Below are 19,683 nucleotides of genomic sequence, written 5' to 3'. Positions count from 1 at the left end.
TTCTGTTAAAGTCTTGAGTCACTCAACAAATATTTCAGCCATATTTGATTAATTTGGCATTAAACATACAGGTATGTGTGTTGCTTTCTTTTTTTTTTTTCTTTTTTGAAAGAGTCTCGCTCTGTCACCCAGGCTAGAGTGCAGTGGCATGATCTCGGCTCACTGCAACTTCCGCCTCCCGAGTTCAAGCGATTCTCCCGCCTCAGTTTCCCGAGTAGCTGGGACTACAGGCGTGCACCACCATGCCCAGCTAATTTTTGCATTTTTAGTAGAGACAGGGTTTCACCATGTCGGCCAGGCTGATCTTGAGCTTCTGGCCTCAGGTGATCCACCCGCCTGGGCTTCCCAAAGTGCTGGGATTACAGGTTACAGGCATGAGCCACTGTGCCCAGCTACATCTGAAAAATTTCTAAAGCTTCATATGGCTCTCAGATCTTGATCTAAAGCCATTTTGGTAAACTGACCAAAGAGTCTCATCAAATTCTGGTCCAAGATACAATTTAAGTCCAAATAAGTGTAGTTCTTTGCAACTTTAAAGTATACATTAATAAAGCAGAGGGAAGCCAAATGTTTTACTGAAAAGGATACTGTATTTTCAAAGAAGTTCAAGTCAGACTTTCTATCCTAAATTAGGGAGTTGAACTAAAGAATTTTAAAGATTTTTACAGGAATATGATCCAGGCTGGCGAGAAAAACTGAGGATGAGGAATCTATATACTATATATAGACCATTACATTGATTGATTGAAAGTACTTGTTTTATTTTTACTCCTTAATCATCTCTGTGTCTGTGGAGTGGGGGATGGAGACATTGAGAGTAGACTGTCAATCAAGCATTTGCCAGAGAGAAACTGACTAGCAGAATTCCCTGATGGTAGAGGAGGTAAGAACAGTTTAAAAAGATATAAAGTGGTAATGGCCAGAGTGTGTATGTACCCATGTGTGCATGTTTGTGTGTGCTGTTGTTGCTATCTATTCCCTACATTTAAAGTTAAAAGTAACTTGGATCATCATATTCTACCTTCTACTCTTTGGACAGAAAAGCTAGTCGCAAGCAGACCCAAGCTTCCCATTACTGTACATAATGAAGACAACAATATCTTTCAAAATCAAAATAAAATTTCTTCTAAAATTATCTTTCTTTTATTTGGTTTTAGTGCCAAGGGTAATTTATTTAGACATTTTAAGTAATGTTGGCCGGGTGCGGTGGCTCATGCCTGTAATCCCAGCACTTTGGGAAGCTGAGGCATGTGGATCACCTGAGGTCAGAAGTTCGAGACCAGCCTGGCCAACATGGCAAAACCCTGTGTCTACTAAAAATACAAAAAAATTAGCCGGGTGTGATGGTATGCATCTGTAATCCCAGCTACTACGGAGGCTGAAGCAGGGGAATTGCTTGAACCTGGGAGGCGGAGGCTGCAGTGAGCAGAGATGCAGCCTGGGCAACAGAGTGAGACCCCCATATCAAAAAATAAAATAAAATAATGTTAAAATAGGGAATTAAATACTTACTTTGACAAACTGTGGGTATAGGTTAGAAATGGCAAAGAAAAAGCCCTGCAAGGGGAATCTTATTCTCAATTGTTCTAAATTAGCCACACAAGTGAAATATTTGTGCTTAGTGGTGAAAACTCTTTGTCAAATTTTTGGATTCATAAGAATATCCAATATCTTAATTTTAGAGAAAGGCAGTGGGGACCAGAGATTGTTGTGCCTGGGATGCTCCCAGGAGGTGCTATAGTGATGCTGCAATGAGCCATGATGCATGTGATGTTACAAAGGAGAAACTGCAGAGAACTAGGATTACTACAGATTACTTCCCATTTCTAATAAATGGTGAATCAAGTTTTCCCCTCAAATTAAAAATATTTCAAACCTGTTGGGCATGGTGGCTCATGCCTATAATCCCAGCACTTTGGGAGGCCGAGGCAGGCGGATACCTGAGGTCAGGAGTTTGAGACCAGCCTGGCTAACAAGGTGAAACCCCCTCACTACTAAAAATACAAAAATTAGCTGGGTGTGGTGGCAGGTGCCTGTAATCCCAGCTACTAGGGAGGCTGTGGCAGGAGAACTGCTTGAACTCAGGAGGTGGAGGTTGCAGTGAGCAGAGATTACGCCACTGCACTCCAGCCTGGGTGACACAGTGAGACTCCGTCTCAAAAACAAAAAAATAAACAAACAAACAAAATATTTCAAACCAGATATTCTGGATTCTGATACATTTAATTTGCGTACTTTTTTTTTTTTTTTGAGATGGAGTCTCACTCTGTCACCCAGGCTGGAGCTCAGTGGTGCGATCTCAGCTCACTGTTAGCTCCACCTCCCTGGGTTCACACCATTCTCCTGCCTCAGCCTCCCGAGTAGCTGGGACTTACAGGCACCCGCCACCATGCCTGGCTAATTTTTTGTATTTTTAGTAGAGACGGGGTTTCACCATGTTATGTACATCTTATCTAATTTTTTAAATTCTTATTAGATATCCTGATTCCCAAAGAAAACTGGCCTATCATTTTTCTAGTAGTATATCTGAAAAATTTATAAAGCTTCATGTGGCTCGCAGATCTTGACCTAAAGCCATTTTGGTAAACTGACCAAAAAGTCTCATCAAATTCTGGTCCAAGACACAATTTAAATCCAAATTGTTTTATGATAGTCTCGAAAATTAATAAATACAATAACAAAAGGAAAAAAGACTGTGAAAGACATACAAAGCAAATAGATTTTTCTCATATAGTACATTTTTCTTTTCATTTAATGGGCAGTGATCACCTAACAGCACTGCATTAGGATTCAAATGACAAGTCTGTGAGTGTTCTTAAGGTCGAGTGCAATGTTACAGATTTTAAGTTCAAATCAAACCAAAGGAATTTAGAATTAAAATTTAATTTACCTATGTTTCCTATAGCTTTGTGTTAAGGAAGAAACAAATAAATGAAAGCTTACTAAGATGTGGAGGACTAGCCTGAGCAATATGGCGAAACCCCATCTCAACAAAAAATACAAAAATTAGCCAGGCATGGTGACATCTGCCTACAGTCCCAGCTACTTGGGAGGCTGAGAGGGGAGGATCACCTGAGCCTTGGGAGGTTGAGGTTGCAGCCTGCTGTGACTAGGCCACTGCACTCCAGCCTTGGGGAGGGAACGAGACCCTGTCTCAGGAAAAAAAAAAAAAAAAAAGATGCAGAGTAATTTGACTTTACACAAACTATATCTCTGACAAGTTGACTGGTAGACTATAAGTGAATTTAAGTGCAGTACTGGGATTATGGAGACTGTTTCTGTAAAACAATTGCTCCATAATTTATAAGCAATTAATTTGTTTCAACATTACAAAGTCTTTTACTCTAATGTTCATATTACCTGGGGAAAAATTAATTACCATGTGAATTTTCCCCTAAAAATATACAAGAAAATAATACTGTAAAACTACACCTATTGGCCGGGCGCGGTGGCTCACGCCTGTAATCCCAGCACTTTGGGAGGCCGAGACGGGCGGATCACGAGGTCAGGAGATCGAGACCATCCTGGCTAACACGGTGAAACCCCGTCTCTACTAAAAATACAAAAATTAGCCGGGCATGGTGGCGCGCGCCTGTAGTCCCAGCTACACGGGAGGCTGAGGCAGGAGAATGGCGTGAACCCGGAGAATGGCGTGAACCCGGGAGGCGGAGCTTGCAGTGAGTCGAGATCGCGCCACTGCACTCCAGCCTGGGCGACAGAGCGAAACTCCGTCTCAAAAAAAAAAAAAAAAAACAAAACTACACCTATTGTATTTAAGACCTTCCTAATTAAATACAGTGTTTCTTGAGTTAAAATTAAGTGTTTTTAAAAGCTACATTAGGGCCAGACACAGTGGCTCACGCCTGTGATCTCAGCTCTTTGGGAGGCCGAGGCGGGCAGATCACCTGAGACCAGGAGTTTGAGACCAGCCTGGCCAACATGGCAGAACCTGTCTTTACTAAAAATGCAAAAATTAGCTGGGCATGGTGGCTCACACCTGTAATCCCAGCTATTTGGGAGGCTGAGGCAGGAGAATTGCATGAACCTGGGAGGTGGAGGTTGCAGTGAGCCGAGAGCACGCTACTGCACTCCAGCCTAGGCGACAGAGCGAGACTCCATCTCAAAAAAAAAGTAAAGAAAAAGTAAAAGCTACATTAAGGCTAGGCTCCATGGCTCTTATCTGTAATCCCAGTGCTTTGGGAGGCTGCGGTGGGAGGATCACATGAGCCCAGGAGGTCAAGGCTGCAGTGAGCTGAGATCATGCCACAGATCAAGGCAACAGAGCAAGACCGTCTCAAAAAACCAAACAAGCAAACAATAAAAAAAAAAAAAACCTCTACATTTAAAAAAACAAAAACAAATGAGTCATTAATGCTCCCAATGTTTGATGGTGGTCGTGAAAGACTTCCATTGCTATAACTTGAAAGGCAGTATTACTCACTCTTGGTAATACAATGTGCTAATACCACCCAACTCACCAACTCAGGAACAGAGCATAATAACAATAGGAAGTGCTTACAGTGCTCATTAGGTGCCAGGCATTGTTTTGAATGCTTTAACTATATCTATTTAATCCCCCTCATAGCTCTGTGAGTCAGAGACTTTTTATCTCCACTTTACAGATGTGAAAATTTAATTACTTGCCAAAGGTCACTCAGTGAAATGGTTGAGGAAGACCCAGTTTCATTTAGTATGTGGCTTTCAAGTCTGTGCTCTCACCCAAAGCTCATTACCTCTGGGTTTGCCTCAAGACTAGTTAATTCAGTGATGGCTGTAACAGGACCATGGATGTACAATTTCACTCCCCATTCGCTCGTTTAAATCCAACCTTTTGTACCCTCTATATAAAAGCTTTTCATGGCTAATATGCATGTTTTGCTAGCTTAGATCTTGACCCTGGAGCACACCACAAAAGGTACAATTCTAACAGATTATTTACTTGTAATTGATCTCAACAGGGAGCCTAAAATGTCAAAGAAGTGGCTCAATCAGATAATGTGAAAATTTAGGACAATAAAGTTTAAATTACTATATTCACTATAGTGTGTTTAATATTTGTGATTAGGGCTAATAATACTTCCAAAATTCTTAAGTCTGATTTTCTCTTTTAGAAAGTTGAGCTAATCACTCTTTCCACTTGCAATAAATAAAACATACCAGGCAAATGTTATCCAAGCCAAGTTTACAGAAGTGTATCTGAACTTGGTACCATCCTCATTCAGATCAGTCGTCAGAGTAGAACACAGAGACTTTTCAGGTGGCCTGCTTGGTTGTCCTTAGCCCAGAAGCACTTTATGTTATTTTGAATTTCACAATAAAGTGTAGCAACATGTTACAGCTCTTGCTAAATATGAATTTTGCTTTGTTTTGTTTTGAGACAGGGTCTCCCTCTGTCACCCAGGCCAGAGTATAGTGGTGTGATCATAGCTCACTACACCCTGGAACTCTTGGACTCAAGATCCTCTCATGTCAGTCTTCTGAGTAGCTAAGACTACAGGCAAATGCCAGCCCACCTGGCTAATTTTTTTCTTATTTTTTTGTAGAGACAGGAGTCTCACTGTGTTGCCCAGGCTGGTCTGAGCTCCTGGGCTCAAACAATCCTCCCACCTTGGCCTCCTAAAGTGCTGGGATTACAGGCATGAGCCACTGCATCCAGCTAAAAATGTAAATAAATTTAAATTGTCAGACAAGAGCCTGCCCAACTGTTGCCCAGAGAATATATATACTTAAATTTACACTTCTGTATCTCACAATCTTTGGACTAGTAAAAAATGTCATAATGACTTTAATAGTGGTCGGATGAAAATATTTCAAAAGCAGGGCTACAATATATCACTTTAGGAGAAAGAGCAGGCAATTTAAAATTTAAAAATGCAAGAGTGAAGAGAAGCAAAGAAAGTAGTGGTGATGGCAGCAGCAGATTCTGGGATCTTCCCGAACCTCCTCACAATAACAGTGAAAACAACTAGGATAGCAAAAGAAAACATCTACAGACAACATCTCTACCAAAAACTATGTGAAAAAACATCCCCTGGAACGTTTTTTAGGATGCTAATTAATTGGTGGGGCCAAACTAAGGTAGCAACAAGAACAGGAGGAAGATACAGGGTGGGAGGGAGAGGTTGGGGTGGGAAGGGTGTGTGTGCGTGTGTGTGTGCATGTGTGTAAGGCAAGGCATGTCCTGGCAGAAGTGGAGGTTAGAAAAAGAGGACTTGGCCGGGCGTGGTGGCTGACACCTGTAATCCCAGCACTTTCGGAGGCCGAGGCAGGCAGATCAGAAGGTCAAGAGATCGAGACCATCCTGGCCAAGATGGTGAAACCCTGTCTCTACTAAAAATACAAAAAATTAGCCGGGCATAGTGGCATGCGCCTCTAGTTCCGGCTACTTGGGAGGCTGAGGCAGGAGAATCACTTGAACCTGGGAGGTGGAGGTTACAGGAGCCGAGATTGCACCACTGCACTCCAGCCTGGCGACAGAGCGAGACTCCATCTAAAAGAAAAAAAAGAAAAAGAGGACTTGAGAGCATCACAAGAACCAAGAAACCCAGAAATCACTAAGTCATCACCTAAAAAAGGAGCCCCACTAGAAGTGAGTGTGAAACTAAGAATCACAGTGGGAACTGGAAGGAGGCCTGGTAGGGTCCCTGTTGCCAAGGACTGCAAGGGAATGAGCCTAAAGCTCCCAGAAACACCTGGTGGAATTTCCTTTGCAGGACAGGCCCTTCACTGAGCAAGGTAGAATACAGTATGTATGTTAATAGCTAGCTAGCTAAAGCTGACAATAATAGCTAGGTCAGGCTAATCAAATTTAGTAACATTACTAAAATTCAGATAGCTAGACATTATGTGCCAGCTGGTGTGATGCCACAGGAAGTATGCTGTATCCCCAAATAAGCATTTTTTTGCCAAGAAAATAAAAAATAAACACTTAATAAAAAATATGGGCCAGGTACGGTGGCTCACACCTGTAATCCCAGCACTTTGGGAGGCCAAGGTGGAAAGATTGCTTGAGCCCAGGAATTTGAGGCCAGCCTGGGTGAGATCCCATCTGTATCAAAAATTTTAGATTATTAGTTTTTTCTTTTTATTTATTTTTTGGTTATCTATTGCTATTGAACAAATTATTAAATTATTATTTTTTTCTTTTTTGTTACTAATTCGTGATGCAACAATATATTAGATTATTTTTTTAAAATAAAAATAGAAAATATGGAGGAGGAAATAATATATTAAATGATAACATAATTGTAATTATCCAAATGTGGGAAATTCTCCAGGATAAATAACCTGGTCTCTGGCCAGGCACGGTGGCTCACGCCTGTAATCCCAGCACTTTGGGAGGCCAAGGCGGGCGGATCACCAGGTCAGGATATCGAGACCATCCTGGCTAACATGGTGAAACCCCGTCTCTACCAAAAATACAAAAAATTAGCCGGGCCTTGTGGCGGGCACCTGTAGTCCCAGCTACTCGGGAAGGCTGAGGCAGGAGAATGGAGTGAACCCAGGAGGCGGAAGTTGCAGTGAGTCGAGATCGCACCACTGCACTCCAGCCTGGGTGACAGATCGAGACTCTGTCTCAAAAAAAATAAAAAAATAAAAAATAAAAAAAATAACCTGGTCTCTTCAATAAATAAATGGCATGACCATGAGGGGGGTCATAGAAACGCACATCAAAAAAAAAAAAAAAGACCTAAAAACGTAACAACCAAATGAAATGTATGGATTTTGTTTGGATCCTGATTTGGAATTACCATCTTTTTTTTAAAAAATTGTTTTTTGAGATATTGGGGGAAATCAAATATGGACTGAGGATTAGATTGTATAAAGGAATTACTGGCTGGGCGTGGTTGCTTACACCTGTAATCCTAGCACTTTGGGAGGCTGAGGTGGGCAGATCACAAGGTCAGGAGATCAAGACCATCCTGGCCAATGGTGAAACCCCATCTCTACTAAAAATACAAAAATTAGCTGGGTGTGGCGGCGTGTGCTTGTAATCCCAGCTACTCGGGAGGCTGAGGCAGGAGAATTGCTTGAACCCGGGAGGCGGAGGTTGCGGTGAGAAGAGATCGCACCACTGCACTCCAGCCTGGCGATAGAGCTAGACTCCATCTCAAAAAAAAAAAAAAAAAAAAGGAATTACCATTAATTTTGTAGGTGTGATAATGGTATGGTGTTTTGCTAAAAAAAAGAAGCAAAAACTCCTAATCTGTTAAAGATACTTAGAGAACTATGTACTAATGAAATAATATAATGTCTGGTATTTACGTTAAACATTTCTTCACACAGAAAAAAAGTAGAGTAGATGAAATAAGAATGGCAAAATCTTGTAATTGGAGTTCATCAGATTTTTGTTGTTGTTTTTCCATAACTGAAGTTCTTCAAAATAAAAAGTTAAGTGGGGCTGGCCACGGTGGCTCATGCCTGTAATCCCAGCACTTTGGGAGGCCAAGGCAGGTGGATCACCTGAGGTCGGGAGTTTGAGACCAGCCTGGCCAATATGGTGGAACCCTGTCTCTACTAAAAATACAAAAAAAAAAAAATTTAGCTGGTCGTGGTGGCGGGTGCCTGTAATCCCAGCTACTTGGTAGACTGAGGTGGGAGAATAGCTTGAACCCGGGAGGCGGAGGTTGCAGTGAGCCGAGACCACACCACTGCACTCCAGGCTGGGCATGACAGAGCAAGACTCTGTCTAAAAAAAAAAAAAAAAAAAAAAAAATTAAGTACAAAACTTCTAGGCACAGGTGTAGTGGCTTACGCCTGTAATCCCAGCACTTTGGGAGGCTGAGGCAAGAGGATCCCTTGAGGCCAGGAGTTCGAGACCAGCCTGGGCAATGCAGTGAGAGTTTGTTTCCCCCCCAAAAAAAGTCTATGCACAACACTGTATAACACAATTTTAAATATCCAATTGTTACGAAACTATAAAAACTATAAAACAAAAGAAGCAAAGAGAAGTAGGAGTTATTTTAAATGCCTATAAATAATTCTTCAGTCTTTTTTTTGTTAAGATAATTGTCATGTACTTTCTACTAACAGAAAGCCAAAACTAAAGGTTACCATCATTTAAAAATATGCTGTTATAAAAAATATGTTTTTGTGACTTTTTGCCAATTTAACATATTCTCCAAAGGAACACTGTCTTTAGCATAGATTTACTGGGCCAGGTGTCCATGTTTGGTGTCATTCTTTGGAATACTCACCCTGCTGCTTCAATGACAAACCAAGCCTGTTAAATTATTACCTAGCAAACTTTTGGCAATTTACCAATTAGTCACATCTTCCAGTCATTTTGCTCTTATGTTTACAGACCTGGTTGTTCATTCTTAGCCAATGTCCAGGAGGGACTTGGCTCCAGGCAATCCTTTCTTTTTCTTTTCAATTTTGACATCTCTATGAGTTAGCTATTAAACAATATTATCACAGCCTATTTTTTTTCTTACTCATACCCAGGAGACAATTACAGAATAAACTTGGACTACAATTTTATACAGCATGCTGAGTTTCCTAAAGGTTTGGTATCTATTTTCTGTAATCTGTGAAGATCCTTTTCCTTTTCCTCACAGAATATTATCCAAAGGGTTCAAGTGCCCTGCCTGTGTTTCTACAATTTTCTTAGCCAAAGTCAATCACTATAATGAGAAGTAGATCTTATTTGGCAGGTTGAAGCATGGTGCAGGTCAGAGCTGCCTCCTTTCTGTTACACATGCATTAAACATTTTGCTCCTTTGGTTTCTGAACACATGTCAGCTCTTCTTAAAGATCTTCCTCTGGAGTCTAATACTTTGCTTGCTCTCTCTGTTTATAAATGTAAACACTGTGGCGGGCGGAGTGGCTCACGCCTGTAATCCCAGCACTTTGGGAGGCTGAGGCGGGTGGATCACAAGGTCAGGAGTTCAAGGCCAGCCTGGCCAGAATGGTAAAACCCTGTCTCTACTAAATATACAAAAATTAGCTGGGCATGGTGGCGCATGACTGTAGTCCCAACTACTCAGGAAGTTGAGGCAGGAGAATTGTTTGAACACGGGAGGCAGAGGTTGCAGTGAGCCGAGATCACGCCACTGCACTCCAGCCTGGGTGACAGAGCGAGACTCCATCTCAAAAAAAAAAATTAAACACTATGTCATTTCCCTGAGTGACTGGATCACCCCAAAACTATCTAAAAATAATTTCAAACATGTAAATGATTTGAGAACCAGAGACAGTAATAATGAACCCATTGATAGGATGACAGCAGGCAGAACTGTGCGGGGAGACTTTCTAGTTTCCAAATACACATATACACTCACTGATGTAAAGAGTGAGAACTTCTACTAAGTACTTACTGAAGTGACCAAGAGCTCTTCAGCTTTCTTTCTTCACTGTGGAGATAAGAATATTTGTTATAGCCTTTGCAGATGATGCAAAAAAGATGACTAGATTAGTGTTTGTGAATTGATTTGAACTCTTTGGTAGAAGGATGCCAGGTACCTAGTCAGCAAGATATAAAACTGTACGAGGCTGGGCGTGGTGGCTCATGCCTGTAATCCCAGCACTTTGGGAGGCCGAGGCGGGCGGATCATGAGGTCAGGAGTTCAAGACCAGCCTGGCCAACATAGTGAAATCCTGTCTCTACTAAAAATAGAAAAATTAGCCGGTCATGGTGGCACATGCCTGTAGTCCCAGCTACTTGGGAGGCTGCTTGGGAGGCTGAGGCAGGAGAATCGCTTGAACCCAGGAGGTGGAGGTTGCAGTGAGCCGAGATCGCACCACTGCACCTCAGCTTGGGCAACAACAGAGTGAGACTTCATCTCAAAAAAAAAAAAAAATGTACATTCTGGGTGAGTAATTACAGGGAGCTATACAGTCCTCAGAGGCCCGGTCAACACTCTTTGAACATCAGGTATTGTAATAACTGATAAGAAGACATTTGAGTTTTATCTACTTCTGATTTATTTAAAAGCCTGGAATTCCTTAACCTATCTTTGTTGACATCATACATGCACATGAAATACGAAAAGTTCCTCTCTGGTCCAAAATAGAATAAGCATACGGTGTCCAAGATTAGACACCCTATTTAGGAAGTTTCAAAGGTGACGCCTGCACCATGCCTGGCTAATTTTTTGTGTTTTTAGTAGAGATGAGGTTCCACCATGTTGGCCAGGCTGGTCTCGAACTCCTGACCTCAGGTGATCTGCCCGCTTTGGCCTCCCAAAGTGCTGGGATTATAGGCATGAGCCACCGCGCCCAGCTCTTTTTTCTTTTTTTTTTTTTTTTTTTTGGGACAAGGTCTCACTCTATCATCCAGGCTGGGCACCCAGTGGTGTGATCATAGCTCACTGCAGACTCAACCTCCCGCGCTCAAATAGCTGGGACTACAGGCACCTGCCACCACGCCCAGTTAATTGTTTTATTTTTTGTAGAGACAGGGTCTCCCCATGTTGCATAGGCTGGCAAATAGGCATTGTTGAAGATTATCAGCAACAGATTGAAACTGGGAGAATCTATGGGCATGGAGGAGGCATGAACAGGACTGATGAAAGGACAGAACAAATAGGAAGTTTCGAACGTGAGCTTTAAGAGAGGAAATGACTCAGCCACAGTTTAGGGAGATAGTTCCAGTTAGGTGAGTTGTAGGTGATAATGTGGCTTGGGTGAGCTCATTATCTACAGAGGACAAGATTCTAGAAGCTCTCTCCAGAGTGTCATCAGGAATCATGAACCAAAGCACAACATCAAGAGTTTACAAAATATTTTTCCAATAGAGGAGGAAATATTGGTGTTCTTTACTTTCAAAACTCAGGGCAGTTCTGGTTATTGAACTTTAAGAGACAACTGGTATAATGACAGTAACAACTAACAAAAATGATTGACGTGACGAAAAAATATTCATATTAGTCTAGTCTAAATTTGAGTTATTCATCAAACATTTGAAGATCCACCCTTTCCCAGACTCTTGGGGTACAGTTTTGAACAAGAGGGGTAGAGGTCCTTCCCTTCTACAAGGCTGCAATCCTTCAGATAAATGACTTTATGGTCTAAGAAGGATGAAGTCAAAGACTGCTGTATTAGTCCGTTTTCATACTGCTACAAAGAACTTTCCTGAGACTGGGTAATTTATAAAGGAAAGAGGTTTAATGGACTCACAGTTCTGCATGGCTGGGGAGGCCTCAGGAAAATTACAATCATGGCAGAAGGGGAAGCAAGTACATCTTACATGAAGGGCAGGAGAGACAGGAGAAATTGAAGGGAGAAGAGCCCTTTATAAAACCATCAGATCTCCTGAGAACTCACTATCACGAGAACAGCATGGGGGAAACCGTCCCCATGATCCAATAACCTCCCTCCCTTGACACGTGGGGATTACAATTGGAGATGAGATTTGGGTCGGAACACAGAGCCAAACCATATCAATTGCATTACTGATATTTATAAAACCATGATTAAAATGAACGTAGTCACATTCCGTTGGAATTCTTTAAATAGGCAGCACACTTGAAGTTTCAAGAAAGGTAGTTTCAAGACGGATCAGGACAAAATATTGAGGAAGCCAGAGTGGTTGGTGCTAAGTATTTGCCTAAAATTAGACTAGAAACTCTGTGAAGGCAGAGATTACGTGTCTGGGTCACAGTGGATCAGCAGGGAGCAGTAGAGCACCTGAAAAATCGTAGCCAATCAGTACTTCTTAAAAAATAAAAAAAACGGGCTGGGCTCAGTGGCTTATGCCTGTAATCTTACCACTTTGGGACGCCAAGGAAGGAGGACTGCTTGAGGCCAGGAGTTAGAGATCAACCCTGGCAATACAGTGAGACTCCCATCTCTACAAAAAATTAAAAACAAAAAATAGCCTGGAGTGATGTTGTGTACAGGTAGTCTTAGCTACTCAGGAGGTTGAGCTGGGAGGATAGATTGAGCCCAGGAGTTTAAGATCAGCCTGGGCAACATAGTGAGATTCCCTCTGTACAAAAAATAGAAAGGAATAAAGCAAAAATTGAGTACTCACTATGTGTAAGTATTGCTTTTGGAGTGTTTAGTATCAGTGTTACTGATCAGTACACAGATGGTGTAAATATAGTGTAAAAACTATTAGATAAGGCCCTGTGCAGTGGCTCACACCTGTAACCCCAGCACTTTGCTAGGAGTTCAAGACCAGCCTGTGCAACATGGCGAAAACCCATCTCTACAAAAAATACAAAAATATTTGCTGGGCATGGTGGCACATGCCTGTGGTCCCATCCCAGCTACTTAGGAGGCTGAGGTGGGAGGATCGCTTGAGCTGGGGAGGCTGAAGCTGGAGTGAGCCAAGATTGTGCCACTGCACTCCAGCCTGGGTGACAGAGTGAGATCCAGTCTCAAAAAAGAAAAAAAAAAAGATTAAAGAAAAAAAGAGATAAGCATGGGAGGGAGGCTACTACAATAGAATAGTGAGTCAAAAGAATTCAGGGATATGGAGGCTTCTTGGACAAAATAATGCTTGAGCTGAGTATTTTCTTTTTTTTTTTTGTGGGGGAAGGGTTTTGTTTGTCTTAAGACAGGGTTTTGCTCTGTTGCCCAGACTGGAGTGCAGTGGCATAATGATGCAATTATGGCTCACTGCAGCCTGGACCTCCTGGGCTCAGGTGATCCTCCCATCTCAGCCTCCAGAGTAGCTGGGACTACAGACTCACGTGGCCACTCTGGCTAATTTTTGTATTTTTGGTAGGGACAGGGTTTTGCCATGTTGCCCAGGTTGGTCTCGAATTCCTAGGCTTAAGCCATCCTCTCACCTCTGTCTCCGAAAGTGTTGGGATTACAGGCATGAGCCACTGTGCCTGATCTGAGCTGAGTTTTGAAGATAGGCAATGGGGCACAGCATGTGTTAAATTACTGTGGAATGAAATAGCATTATACATTTGAGGAACCAAAAACAGTGGCAGTTTGGCTGAAGAGAAGAATGAGGTGGCATGATAGTGTTATGGTAGATTAGACTGTAGGATGGATCTAGATCAATTTATATGCTTATGTTAAAATTTGGGCTTTATACTAAATTTAGAAATCACTAAACTATGTTAAACAGAGGAATGACAGAATCATACCTTTGTTTTAGGAAGATCAATCAGGCAGCAGTGATAGTGCAAAGTGGGGGTAGAATGGAGGTGGGAAGGTTTAAACTAAAGTATAAAGAGAGACAATAGAATCCACAGGAAAGATATTACTGAGAATGAAATTGGTTTGTGGGGGCTGACTGAAAGGTAGTAGAATGACTGCTAGGCTTCAAGTTTGGATGTAGTGTCACTTAATAAGGTAGATAATAGAAGTAGAGATTTTGTTTTTGTTTTGAGGGTAGGTGAGGAGACAAAAAGGATAAGAAATCCAGTCTTTCCTTAAGCTCAAGTTACCAGTTATAAGTGTGCATGTTAGTCTTCTTTTGATGCTATCATCAGGTCAACCATTCTCACAAATGGTTTTTGTTGTTGTTGTTGTTTTTGGGATGGAATCTCACTCTCTCTTTCACCCAGGCTACAGTGTAGTGGCATGATGTCGGCTCACTGCCCCCTCTGCCTCCAGAGAAGCTGGGATTACAGGCAAGCGCCACCACGCCCAGCTAATTTTTGTACTTTTTGGTAGAGACGGGGTTTTGCCATGTTGGCCAGGCTGGTCTCCAACTCCTGAGCTCAAGTGATCTGCCCGCTTCGGCCTCCCAAAGTGCTGGGATTATAGGTGTGAGCCACCGCACCTGGCCACAAATGTCTCTGTGTGTGTGTGTGTGTGTGTGTATGTGTGTGTATGTCTTTGAGGCAGCATAATTTTTCTGAGCTTTTTATGTGCTATGACGCCCCCTAAAAAGGAATTGGATGAATAAACAGGTTGTATGTTGGTAACTCTAAGATAAATAGTACTTTAATAATTTGAAGAAATATGTAATCTTAACACTTTGTGAAGCCAAGGTGGGTGGACCACTTGAGCCAGGAGTTGGAGACTAGCCTGGGCATCATGACAAAACCCCGTCTCTACAAAAAATACAAAAATTAGCTGGGCTTGGTGGATGCACACCTGGAGTCCCAGCTATCAGGAGGCTAAAGTGGGAGGACCACCTCAGCCAGGGAGCTCCAGGTTGCAACAAGCAGAGCTCACACCACTGCATTCCAGCCCAGGCAACAGAGTGAGACCCTGTCTCAAAAAAAAAAAATAAATAAAATAATAATTTGAAGAAATGGTCCTTAACATTATAGTACTGCAATCTAAGATCTCATTTCATATAGAAATAAAACATGGCAGCATGAGTAACAGGTCCAATCTGCTTTCCATTAAACTGTAATAACAGTAAAGCAGATGTGATAAAATAAGATGCATTACTTAATCTCTTTTGAAATTACTTCCTGATTGGTTGGTAGTGCATACTCCATAGTACAAGTTTTATTGGCTTTTGCAGTAAAGAAAAAAAATTTTAAAAAGTAACAAATTTTCAATGCAATTTTCCTGCATCGCTATTAATATAATTACTGAACCTAATTTCCTTATGTTGTTAATTATTTTTGTCTTATTTTTCAAACAAATGCTTCTTAGCTATATTAATTTTTAGAAACACACTAGTGCATTAGGATATTTTCTAGGAAACTAAGCACATAAAAGTACCCACTATTGTACTTAAAATATTAGCCTTGTCTCTTATGTATATGTTACATTCCTCAAACTTTTTAAATTTTTTGCCGACACGGAGTCTCGCTTTGTCGCCCAGGCTGGAGTGCAGTGGTGCGATCTCGGCTCTCTGCAACCTCAGCCTCCTGGGCTCAAGCAATTCTCGTGCCTCAGCCTCCCCAGGAGCTGGGACTACAGGTGTGCGCCACCATGCCCGGCTAATTTTTGTATTTTTAGTAGAAATGGGGTTTCACAATGTTGGCCAAGCTGGTCTCGAACTCCTGGCCTCAAGTGATCGCCCACCTCGGCTTCCCAAAGTGCTGGGATTACAGGCTTGAGCAGCCGCGCCCGGCCATATTCACTTAAACATTTAATGACCCAGGAGAACATTCATCTAGGATTTTAAGTTGTACTCACAGTGCTTTTATTTTCTGTTTCGATCAAAATAGTCTATTGATGACAATATTTGTGAGCCCATTCATTTCTACCGTATCAAATTGTTAGTCTAGCCAGTCTCCTTCAAACTTCTCTCCCTCTACCCATCATCGTCAAGATCTAAAGGAATTCACTACCTCTTCTTCTCCCAAGAAAAAAAAAATCGCTCCTCCCCCTCTCCCAACCCCCCCACAACCCATTCCAGAAAAGGAAAGAAGAGGGGACGCAAAGTGGAATAAGTTACGACGGGCGACCGAGCGCATAGAAATGGGACCAAAGCCCAGGCTCAAGACAGAGACGAGGAATCAGTAACCACAGCCGGAGGATCTTGGCTATTTGCCAGCAGAGAACTGACTGGTTCTAAGAAACCAGAGGCAGAGCGAGTGACAGGAAGGGAAAGAGGGCCCACCCTTGGGACTGCCTGAAACACTCAAAGAATGAAAAAGAAACGTCAGGAATCCGAGACGGGATGCGGTCGGCCAGAGCGACCAGCCAGGTTAACAACCAGCTCAGAAAGCCGGGACACGGGTGAGAGACCCCTGGGAAGGAAACAGCGCCCGGGGACGGCCTGCTAAAAGGAAACTGATAACCAGGAAGCCTAAGGCCGCCTCGCTTCCAAAAGTCAGAGTCGGAGCCCAGGTGTCCGGTAGCTGCGGCCAGACACCGGATCGGGTCTGAGGGCGGGCCTAGGGGCGGAGCCCGAGCTCTTTCCCCGCCCTCTAACGGCGACCCGGGCTGCGTTCTCAGTGCGCCGGCGTAGGGTGAGGCCGGACTCTATTTGGCGATTAAGCGTGAGGCTGCGTTCGCTACCCAGCATGCTGTGCGCTAGTGACGGCCCTCCGCCTATCCCCTTCCCAACTCTCCCCCCACCCCTCCCGCCGAGGCCCCCCCTTCCCCTAAAGTGAGTGAGTGAGACGGGCAGATGGAGGAGGGATTGTAATGGCGGCAGCCGGCAGCTCCCTGCTCTGACCCACGGCAGGCACACAGCAACGACCCCTTCCCCGCCCCTCTCCCGGCCGGCCTCCGCCCCGCAGCCAGCGCGGGGCCACCCTCTCCGGCCCTTCCCCCAGCTGTCGGCGTCTCGCCCTGCGCCCCGGCCGGGGCCCCACACACAATGGACGAGCTTGCCGGAGGCGGTGGTGGCGGCCCGGGGATGGCGGCCCCTCCCCGGCAGCAGCAGGGACCTGGGGGGAACCTGGGCCTTTCGCCCGGGGGGAACGGAGCGGCGGGCGGCGGGGGTCCTCCGGCCTCCGAGGGAGCGGGTCCCGCGGCAGGCCCCGAGCTGTCCCGGCCGCAGCAGTACACTATCCCGGGGATACTGCACTACATCCAGCACGAGTGGGCTCGGTTCGAGATGGAGCGGGCGCACTGGGAGGTGGAACGGGCCGAACTGCAGGTACCTCGTTGGGGTCGGTGTGCGGGAGCTGCGGCGGCTGGGTTCCCGGCCGGGGGGTGGGGCTGGGGACTCCACTCAGCCGGAGCCGGCGCCTTGGGAGGCCGAGCGGAACCTACCTGTGCTGCTCAGGTTGTGATGGTCCTCTCAACGGCTTTTCCTGGAGTCCCCCTCCCTCTTTCCCGCATAAGCTTGCTCCCCAACCTTCACTGGCTACGCGGTGCGGGCCTCCTCGGGGCAGCCATTTTGGCTTTTAGTATGGCGTCTGCGGGGGCTCCTCCGGAGGCGGCCTTCCCGGGCCTCCGGGGCTTGGGACCGAGCACCTCTCTGTGGGAGAGTCCGGTTTGGGGCCTCTCAACACTGAGTTTGCTCTTGTTTGTTCCTCTTGAGATGAAGAGCCCGAAGAGAGGGACTAGGATAGGCATCTTACCCCCCTTTTCCGGACCACCCCCCTTTCCGATTTGGCGTATCTGGCCCCCTCCCTCAGACTTGGTACGCGCTTGCCCCTTGACAGCCACGCTTCTTTCCTGGGCTGCTAGGGTGCACAGTGACTTGGGACTGACCTGTGAAGTTTTATTTCCCATCGTCAACTTTAAGTACTTTCTCACCTGAGATGCTGCCTTACTCACTTGGATTCTCTGTAGTTATTCCTTACTTAGTGACTCATCAACGCTTTCAGCACTGAATTTTTCTTTTTACAGTACTCTCCACTAGATCTCCTTTCCCCCATCCGTTTCTTTATCTATAAAAAAACCAAACCAGACGATCGATGCTGTATTTATGAAACGACTGAAGAGATTTAATATTCCCTTGAAGTGAAACGTAGTTATATCATGTTACTTACTCTTGCAGGAGAAGCAAAGTGAGATGTTCTCGGAACCCTTCATAGTTGAGCTTGACTCGATCCTCATAATGTGAACCTTTGATAGGCTGCACATTTGGAAGCTGTTGGTAGTTAACAGCTCATGTCCTGGATCTCAAAATTGCTGCATCTTTTTGAAAGGGTTATTTAACTTTCTTGGGTATTTGTGTTTATTTTTAAATACCTTTCCAGGGCAAATTTAGGCTTAGAAGGAAAAAGCGTGTGTCTAAATAGTATTGCACCTGTTCTTCAGACTGTTGTGTATTTAGGGGGTAAGCAGTATTTGCTGTCATATATGTCATATGCCTATGGTGAATCGTTAGGCAAATGTAGTGCTGAAAGGAGGAGGATTGGATTAACTAGAAAGGGTGTCCTCAAATATGCATCTCTTTAGTTTGGTTCTGAACTAGTAAACTTTTATATGACTCCACAAAGTGGGTGAAGTTAAACTTTTCAAAAGTAAAAAATACTTGGGTATTTTGACACTGTATGAAGTCTTAAAAAAAAGTAACACTTGTTAGTCATTTCAGTGCTTTACAATTGTGTTTTGATATAATATTGGGCTTTAAAATTACATAACTTTAAAAAAGCTGAAGTCAAAACTGGTTTAAGTTGTGTACAGTCTGCTTTAACATACTTAAAATTTATAGAATTCTGTTGGTATACAGCTTTCTACTACATACTGCAAACTTAATTTTCTGTGTGAGTAAAGTAAGTAAGGCATTTGTTTTTAAAATTTGGATTGACAAATGCAGTAAGGCCTAAGCTCACTAAATAATACTTCACCAGTCCCTGCTATGGTTTCTTAGACCTTTGTACTGTTGTATGCAAGTTTGGATTTCAACACTCTTCAAGTTAGCAATTGCATTTTTCACCCATAAACTTCACTAATGTAAGCAGCTGAGAAGAAAGATATCTTGTGCCCAAATTAGTAAAACCTATACTATATATTAAAGAAGCCTTTATTGCCTGCTCTAGCATTTGCTTTCCCTTCTAGGTCTCCTTAACAGCAGCAGCAGTGTTTTAAGGTAGATTCCTTTTGCTTGCTTGCTTGCTTTCAATTCTATTGGTACAGTACTGTTATTAGCCATCCTAAGTTTTTGTTTGTTTCCTTGTTTTGAAGAAGTCCTACAGTGTTTCTAGACTCTTTTTTATTTCATACTGATTCTTTTGGAATAAAATGTTCATGATGGCGTTGGTTTTTTTTTTTTTGAGTTATATATTTAAAATGTTTTATTGGGTTAACTTAATAAGGTTTCTAGTTTGCTTTAGGTGCCTTCAGTCTACTGAGATTGCTTGTGAGATGCGTATTTTAAAATGTATGTGTTGAATACATATTTGTGGGAGGGTGTAGTGAAGCATCAGTGGATTTTTACTGTAAACTTAAACCTATTTTTAAGAA

General features: G+C 43.3%; 2 protein-coding genes across 13 annotated transcripts in view, besides 6 other annotated features; one reads left to right on the top strand and one right to left on the bottom strand.

The window, feature by feature from the left end:
* AP4S1 (adaptor related protein complex 4 subunit sigma 1) overlaps nt 1-18,220 on the bottom strand; it is a 71,345-nt gene extending 53,125 nt beyond the window's left edge. For 4 of the 9 annotated variants that reach the window (NM_001128126.3, NM_001254727.2, NM_007077.5 and 1 more), the window contains exon 1: nt 17,539-17,677. The gene's annotated coding sequence lies outside the window, so the exon portion shown is untranslated. Of the gene's footprint in view, nt 1-10,319; nt 10,356-16,008; nt 16,684-17,538; nt 17,678-18,027 lie in introns of those variants that run through there. The other 5 variants (NM_001254728.2, XM_011536372.4, XM_011536371.4 and 2 more) reach the window with 4 other exon arrangements.
* Nucleotides 16,449-16,608: an enhancer, noted in NCBI's record as "active region_8229". NCBI's record gives its function as "activates an Ori minimal core promoter by ATAC-STARR-seq in GM12878 lymphoblastoid cells {active_cell/tissue: GM12878}" and the evidence as "EXISTENCE:reporter gene assay evidence [ECO:0000049][PMID:35858748]".
* Nucleotides 16,739-17,058: a silencer, noted in NCBI's record as "silent region_5651". NCBI's record gives its function as "represses an Ori minimal core promoter by ATAC-STARR-seq in GM12878 lymphoblastoid cells {active_cell/tissue: GM12878}" and the evidence as "EXISTENCE:reporter gene assay evidence [ECO:0000049][PMID:35858748]".
* Nucleotides 16,947-19,683, top strand: part of STRN3 (striatin 3) — a 132,576-nt gene continuing 129,839 nt past the window's right edge. For all 4 annotated transcript variants that reach the window (NM_014574.4, XM_005267569.5, XM_005267570.5 and 1 more), the window contains exon 1: nt 16,947-17,422. In NM_014574.4, coding sequence (NP_055389.3) covers nt 17,141-17,422 — 282 coding nt within the window. In that variant the 5' untranslated portion in view covers nt 16,947-17,140. The remainder of the gene's footprint in view (nt 17,423-19,683) is intronic.
* Nucleotides 17,149-17,408: a silencer, noted in NCBI's record as "silent region_5650". NCBI's record gives its function as "represses an Ori minimal core promoter by ATAC-STARR-seq in GM12878 lymphoblastoid cells {active_cell/tissue: GM12878}" and the evidence as "EXISTENCE:reporter gene assay evidence [ECO:0000049][PMID:35858748]".
* Nucleotides 17,548-17,729: a silencer, noted in NCBI's record as "fragment chr14:31494803-31494984 (GRCh37/hg19 assembly coordinates)". NCBI's record gives its function as "represses an EF-1alpha promoter that drives an FKBP-Casp9 reporter gene in an ReSE screen in phorbol 12-myristate 13-acetate-treated (for megakaryocytic differentiation) K562 erythroleukemia cells {active_cell/tissue: K562(+PMA)}" and the evidence as "EXISTENCE:reporter gene assay evidence [ECO:0000049][PMID:32094911]".
* Nucleotides 17,719-17,828: an enhancer, noted in NCBI's record as "active region_8228". NCBI's record gives its function as "activates an Ori minimal core promoter by ATAC-STARR-seq in GM12878 lymphoblastoid cells {active_cell/tissue: GM12878}" and the evidence as "EXISTENCE:reporter gene assay evidence [ECO:0000049][PMID:35858748]".
* Nucleotides 17,899-17,998: an enhancer, noted in NCBI's record as "active region_8227". NCBI's record gives its function as "activates an Ori minimal core promoter by ATAC-STARR-seq in GM12878 lymphoblastoid cells {active_cell/tissue: GM12878}" and the evidence as "EXISTENCE:reporter gene assay evidence [ECO:0000049][PMID:35858748]".

Source organism: Homo sapiens, chromosome 14 (assembly GCF_000001405.40).
Source record: "Homo sapiens chromosome 14, GRCh38.p14 Primary Assembly".
NCBI lineage: Eukaryota > Metazoa > Chordata > Mammalia > Primates > Hominidae > Homo > Homo sapiens.
The sequence above is the reverse complement of the archived record's forward strand: the minus strand, read 5'-3'. Positions and strand labels throughout refer to the sequence as shown.